Genomic DNA, 6,952 nt, shown 5'->3' with positions numbered 1-6,952 from the left:
GATCATCTGAGGTCAGGAGTTCAAGACCAGCCTAGCCAACATGGCGAAACCCCATCTCTACTAAAAATACAAAAATTAGCCGGGTGTGGTGGTGGGCGTTTGTAATCCCAGCTACTCAGGAGGCTGAGACAGGGAGAATTGCTTGAACCTGGCAGGCGGAGGTTGCATTGAGCTGAGATCATGCCACTGCACTCCAGCTTAGGTGACAGAGCGAGACTCTGCCTCAAAAAAATAAAGAAAAGAAAAGAAAATGTAAGAATTGTGTCCCGAGCTGGGTACAATTGCAGGCACCTGTAGTCCTGGCGATTCGGGAGGCTGAAGTGGGAGGATCACTTGAGGCCAAGAGTTCAAGTCCAGCCTGGGCAACATGGCAAGACCCCATATCTAAAAAAAAAAAAAGAAGAAGAAAAAAGAAAGGAGAAAAAGAATTGTATCATTATTTGAAATTTAACATGCATATTTTTTCTCGGTAAATCACTAAGTTCTTTCAGAATAAAGGACTATTTATGCTACTTTGTATCATCTATACTTTTTCCTATTTTATATTAGAGTTTTGTTTTTTTGATAAGTCACTGAAACAACAACAACAACTTGAAAACACGAAGTACACCACGAAACATGAAGCGGGTCAGATTGACCTGCGCCTCTGGGAGGTGCCTCTCCTCATCCTCCATCTGAGTCCTGAGTTCCTACATGGGTTGAGAAGATAAAAGGTTAATGCCCCTCCCAGAGGGGTGGTTTATCTAGGGACTCCTGGTGACAACCTGGAGACATATTTATAGTGCTAGCTTTGAAGGGGAAGCCCCTTTCCCCAGACCTCAGAGTATGATATAGATGATGAGAAGCCCAGCCTTCCGGGCAGAGGAAGATATTTTGGGCCAGGGACCCTTCAGTCCTGGCCCAGTCACACCTCATCAGCATTCACTTATCTACAGGGAGGGAAGCTGCAGGACAGGAGTGTGGGAGGGGAGCCTGGGAGGAGAGAAAAGGTCTGCCTTTGACATTTGTAACTGCTGAGAACTGAAGGTCAGATACAGTCCTTTCCACTAAGAAATGGCTGCTCACCGAAGAGCTCATGAGATTTGCTACTGCTGTCACCTCTCATGGCTTGGTGGTCTGAAAATATTGTAGAAAGAAAAGAGTTTCCTATGCCTCAGCAACTTGTGAAATACCAGATTAAGTTTGTGGACACTGTCTCCAGGATAAAAAGTTTTTAGGCTGGGTGCGGTGTCTCACACCTGTAATCCCAGCACTTTGGGAGGCTGAGGTGGGTAGATTGCTTAAGCCCAGGAATTTGACACCAGCCTGGGCAACATAGCAAGACCCTGTCTCAAAAATAAACAAATACATAAATAATTTTTAAAAAGAAGTTTTTAAGGCCGGGCACTGTGGCTCACACCTGTAATCCCAGCACTTTGGGAGGCTGAGGTGGGCGGATTACCTGAGGTTGGGAGTCCAACACCAGCCTGACCAACCCTGTCTCTACTAAAAATAGAAAAGTAGCCAGGCGTGGTGGCGCATGTCTGTAATCCCAGCTACTTGGGAGGCTGAGGCAGGAGAATCACTTGAATCTGGGAGGCGGAGGTTGCGGTGAGCTCAGATTGCACCATTGCTCTCCAGCCTGGGCAACAAGAGTGAAACTCCGTCTCAAAAAAAAAAAAAAAAAAAAAAGAGAGACGTTTTTAAAAAGATTATGTAATAAGTAGATGTTCATCCAGCCTGTAATCCCAGCACTTTGGGAGGCCGAAGTGGGCAGATCGCTGAGGTCAGAAGTTTGAGACCAGTCTGGCCAACATGGTGAAACCCCGTCTCTACTAAAAATACAAAAATTAGCCAGGCGTGGTGGCAGGCGTCTGTAATCCCAGCTACTCGGGAGGCTGAGGCAGGAGAATTGCTTGAACCCGGGAGGCGGAGGTTGCAGTGAGCCGAGATCGTGTCATTGCACTCCAGCCTGGGTGACAGGGCGAGACTCCATCTCAGAAAAAAGAAAAGTAGATGTTCATCCAAAATTATCTCTAAAGATTGGACAGATAAGGAAAAAAAGAGGGGACAGGCTGACATTGGTCTGACTTTGAGCTCAACATACTGATTTAATAATAATAATATAGCTAACATGTATATAGCACTTACTTTGTGCCCCCGACCGGGCTGTTAGAAGAGCTTTACACACATTACCTCACTCTGTCCTCATTGTAACCCTGTGAGGTGGAGACTGTTACACCATTTACAGATTTGCAAACAAAGACACAAAGACAAATCCACTAATTTGTCTCTAATCTCTCAGCTAGAAAGTGAGAGAGCCAGGATTCTAAATTAGGCGCTGTTATTTGTATACATTGTATGCAAATAAAATTTCCAGAAATTTAGCTGAATTTACTTAATAATTTTTTCCCCTGGCAGTAGCATAAGGAAGTTTTATAAATTAAATAACATTTTGAATGAATGCCTCATATAAGACGTTGTCCCTATTCCAAGATAATGCTGATGCTAATACCAATAATATGTACAGTTGGGGCCCAGAAATGAACATGCAGCTGTCTGTCTTTAGGTTTGTGGTCATAGCAACCATTTTCGGAAAGCCTGGTGTTTGCTTTTCTGCCTCTCCGAATCATGGTTGCTCAACTCCTTTGTTCCAAAACAGACACCCCATTCCCAATTGCTGCGCGCCAGGCTGGCTTCCAGCCGTTGAGTCCGTGTCCTGTCATGCTGTCTCCACTGTTTTGTCTCACTGATGCTGTTCTTCTGACCATTCCGCTTTGGCTTGACGCAGCCGCCCATACTAGGCAGCTGCTATGAGAGCAGCCAGTGGTGACCTGTGCTCTTCCAGGGACTGGAGGGTGAGACCACCTTGCTGTGTTTACCTTTGTATTCACCACCTCACTCTGCACACAGTAGGCATTTAATGAATGTGTGTGGGGTGAGCACTGCCTCAGCTCTGGCCACATTCCAGCATTTTCTGGTTGTTGTCCTGCCCCATCACGGCCCAACTGCCTTGCACCTGATGAAATGATGAAGAAACAGGATGTGATCCATTTGGTACGATGAGGACCAAGACATGAATGGGATATTCTGGTCTCCCAGTCACCGCTATGTAGACTTTATTTCTTTATTTATTTTCTTTTTTAAAAAAGATATACTCGGTCAGGCGCGGTGGCTCACGCCTGTAATTCCAGCACTTTGGGAGGCCAAGGCGGGTGGATCACGAGGTCAGGAGTTCAGGACCAGCCTGGCCAACATAGTGAAACCTCGTCTCTACTAAAAATACAAAAATTAGCTGGGCATGGTTGAGGGCATCTATAGTCCCAGCTACTCGGGAGGCTGAGGCAAGAGAATTGCTTGAACCTGGGAGGCGGAGGTTGCAGTGAGCCGAGATCACGCCACTATACTCCAGCCTGGGCAACAGAGCGAGACTCCATCTCAAAACAAAAAACAAAAACAACAAAAAAAGATATACTCCTATATTTTTTTCTTTTTTTTTTTTGAGATGGAGTCTCGCTCTGTCGCCCAGGTTGGAGTGCAATGGCAGGATCTCGGCTCACTGCAACCTCGCCTCCCAGGTTCAAGCAATTCTCCCGCCTCAGCCTCCCAAATATGTGCCACCACCAGCTAATTTTTGTATTTTTAGTAGAGACGGGGTTTCACCATGTTGGCCAGGCTAGTCTCGAACTCCTGGCCTCAGGTGATCCACCCGCGTCAGCCTCCCAAAGTGCTGGGATTACAGGCGTGAGCCACCGTGCCTGGCCAACTTCACAGGTTTTCATAAAACCCCAAATACAACTGATGGAATATGTATGAAAGCTGTGGAGTCATATACAAAACGAAGGCAGCACTATTGTTAATGATGCTGTGCAAAATTATTTTGTAGCTGATGTTCTAGGTAGATCAAGACTGCATTAAAGGAAGACTTCATGCTGCTCCTCTGTGATGCTCAGAGTTCTTTGCTGGGGATGCTCTCAGAGTCCAACAAGACTCTGGTCAGGATTTGCCAGTGACAGAGAGGACATAATGTCTTTTCACAGTAGGTTGACAATAATGGCTCAGCCTCTGTGTCAGGAATTGGGGGAAAAAATGATGCTGCCATCTGTACAGGACCTTTCTTTTCTTTCTTCTCTCCTCCCCTCTTTTCTCTTTCTTTCTTTTTTTCTTTCTTCTTTCTTTCTTTCTCTCCTTTTTCTTTCTTTTCCTTTTTTTTTTGAGACAGAGTTTCACTCTTGTTGCCCAAGCTGGGTGCAGTGGCGCAATCTCGGCTCACTACAACCTCTGCCTCCCAAGTTCAAGTGATTCTCCTCCCTCAGCCTCCTGAGTAGCTGGGATTACAGGCGTGCACCAACACGCCTGGCTAATTTTTTGTATTTTTAGTAGAAACGGGGTTTCACCATGTTAGCCAGGCTGGTGTCGAACTCCTGACCTCAGGTGATCCGCCCCCAAAGTGCTGGGATTATAGGCGTGAGCCACCGCGCCGGCCCTTTCTTTTCTTTCTTTCTGCTTTTTTTTTTTGAGACGGAGTTTTGCTCTTGTTGCCCAGGCTGGAATGCGATGGCATGATCTCAGCTCACTGCAACCTCTGCCTCCCTGATTCAAGCGATTATCCTGCCTCAGCCTCCCGAGTAGTTGGGATTACAGGCCTGCACCACTACGTCCAGCTAATTTTGTATTTTTCGTAGAGACAGGGTTTCTCCATGTTGGTCAGGCTGATCTTGATCTCTTGACTTTGTGATCCACCTGCCTCGGCCTCCCAAAGTGCTGGGATTACAGGTGTGAGCCACTGCACCTGGCTTTTTTTTTTTTTTTTTTTGAGATGGAGTCTCGCTGTGTTGTCAGGCTGGAGTGCAGTGGCGTGATCTCAGCTCACTGCAACCTCCGCCTCCTGGGTTCAAGCGATTTTCCTGCCTCAGCCTCCCGAGTAGCTGGGACTACAGGTGCACGCCACCATGCCCAGCTAATTTTTTTTGTATTTTTAGTAGAGACAGGGTTTCACCACGTTGGCCAGGATGGTCTCGATCTCTTGACCTCGTGATCCACTCGCCTTGGCCTCCCAAAATGCTGGGATTACAGTCATAAGCCACCACGCCTGGCCTTTTTTCTTCTTTTTTTTAGATGGAGTCTTGCTCCAGTCACTCAGGCTGGAGTGCAATGGTGTGATCTCAGGGCTCACTGCAACCTCCACCTCCTGGGTTCAAGCGATTCTCCTGCCTCAGCCTCCCAAGTAGCTGGAATTACAGGCACCCACCACCATGCCCGGCTAATTTTTGTATTTTTAGTAGAGACGGGGTTTCACCATGTTAGCCAGGCTGGTGTCGAACTCCTGACCTCAGGTGATCCGCCCCCAAAGTGCTGGGATTATAGGCGTGAGCCACCGTGCCGGCCCTTTCTTTTCTTTCTTTCTGTTTTTTTTTTGAGACGGAGTTTTGCTCTTGTTGCCCAGGCTGGAATGCGATGGCATGATCTCAGCTCACTGCAACCTCTGCCTCCCTGATTCAAGCGATTATCCTGCCTCAGCCTCCCGAGTAGTTGGGATTACAGGCCTGCACCACTATGTCCAGCTAATTTTGTATTTTTCGTAGAGACAGGGTTTCTCCATGTTGGTCAGGCTGATCTTGATCTCTTGACTTTGTGATCCACCTGCCTCGGCCTCCCAAAGTGCTGGGATTACAGGTGTGAGCCACTGCACCTGGCTTTTTTTTTTTTTTTTTTTTTTTGAGATGGAGTCTCGCTGTGTTGTCAGGCTGGAGTGCAGTGGCATGATCTCAGCTCACTGCAACCTCCGCCTCCTGGGTTCAAGCGATTTTCCTGCCTCAGCCTCCCGAGTAGCTGGGACTACAGGTACACGCCACCATGCCTAGCTAATTTTTTTTGTATTTTTAGTAGAGACAGGGTTTCACCATGTTGGCCAGGATGGTCTCGATCTCTTGACCTCGTGATCCACTCACCTTGGCCTCCCAAAATGCTGGGATTACAGTCATAAGCCACCACGCCTGGCCTTCTTTTTTCTTCTTTTTTTTAGATGGAGTCTTGCTCCAGTCACCCAGGCTGGAGTGCAATGGTGTGGTCTCAGGGCTCACTGCAACCTCCACCTCCTGGGTTCAAGCGATTCTCCTGCCTCAGCCTCCCAAGTAGCTGGAATGACAGGCACCCACCACCATGCCCAGCTAATTTTTGTATTTTTAGTAGAGACAGGGTTTCACCATGTTCGTCAGGCTGGCCTCGAACTCCTGACCTCAGGTGGTCTGCCCATTTCAGCCTCCCAAAGTGCTGGGATTACAGGCATGAGCCACCACGCCTGGCCCCTCTCTTATCTCTTTTCTTTTTCTTTCTCTCTCTCCTTCCTTCCTTCTATCTCTCTCTCTCTCTCTCTTCTTCCCTTTCTTGCTTTCTCTCTCTCTCTTTCACCCCCTTCTCCCTCTTTCTTTTCTTTTTTTTTTTTTTTTTTTGGAGTCTCGCTGTGTCACCCAGGCTGGAGTGCAATGGCGCGATCTCGGCTCACTTTAAGCTCCACCTCCCGGGTTCAAGTGATTTTCCTGCCTCAGCCTCCTGAGTCGCTCGGATTACAGGTGTGCACCACCATGCCCAGCTAATTTTTTGTATTTTTAGTAGAGATGGGGTTTCCCCATGTTGGCCAGGCTGGTCTCGAACTCCTGATCTCAGGTGATCCACCTGCCTGGGCCTCCCAAACTGCTAGGATTACAGGAGTGAGCCACCGTGCCGGGCCTTCGTGCCTGCCTGCCTGCCTGCCTGCCTTCCTTCCTTCCTTCCTCCCTCCCTCCCTTCTTTCTTTTCTTTCTCTCTCTCTCCCTCCCTCCACTTCCCTCCCTTCCTTCTTTCCTTCCTCTCTTTCTTTTCTTTTCTTTCTCTCTCTCTCTTTCTTCTTTCCTTCTTTCTTGATGGAGCCTTGCTCTGTCGCCCAGGCTGGAGTGCAGTGGTGCAGTCTCAGCTCACTGCAACCTCCACCTCC

The 6,952-nt window shown here is 47.9% G+C and overlaps 3 annotated features.

Annotated features, from left to right (window-relative positions):
* Nucleotides 475-1,194: a transcriptional cis regulatory region, noted in NCBI's record as "candidate enhancer chr1.8461 targeted for multiplex CRISPR interference". NCBI's record gives its function as "positively regulates ADAMTSL4 gene expression with high confidence in K562 cells {active_cell/tissue: K562}" and the evidence as "EXISTENCE:mutant phenotype evidence [ECO:0000015][PMID:30612741]".
* Nucleotides 2,288-2,788: an enhancer, noted in NCBI's record as "H3K27ac hESC enhancer chr1:150516283-150516783 (GRCh37/hg19 assembly coordinates)". NCBI's record gives its function as "activates a minimal SCP1, AML or CMV promoter by ChIP-STARR-seq in naive H9 embryonic stem cells {active_cell/tissue: H9 hESC(naive)}" and the evidence as "EXISTENCE:reporter gene assay evidence [ECO:0000049][PMID:30033119]".
* Nucleotides 2,789-3,289: an enhancer, noted in NCBI's record as "H3K27ac hESC enhancer chr1:150515782-150516282 (GRCh37/hg19 assembly coordinates)". NCBI's record gives its function as "activates a minimal SCP1, AML or CMV promoter by ChIP-STARR-seq in naive H9 embryonic stem cells {active_cell/tissue: H9 hESC(naive)}" and the evidence as "EXISTENCE:reporter gene assay evidence [ECO:0000049][PMID:30033119]".

The sequence above is a fragment of the Homo sapiens genome, chromosome 1, assembly GCF_000001405.40.
Source record: "Homo sapiens chromosome 1, GRCh38.p14 Primary Assembly".
Classification (NCBI taxonomy): domain Eukaryota; kingdom Metazoa; phylum Chordata; class Mammalia; order Primates; family Hominidae; genus Homo; species Homo sapiens.
This window is presented reverse-complemented; position numbering and strand designations above follow the sequence as displayed.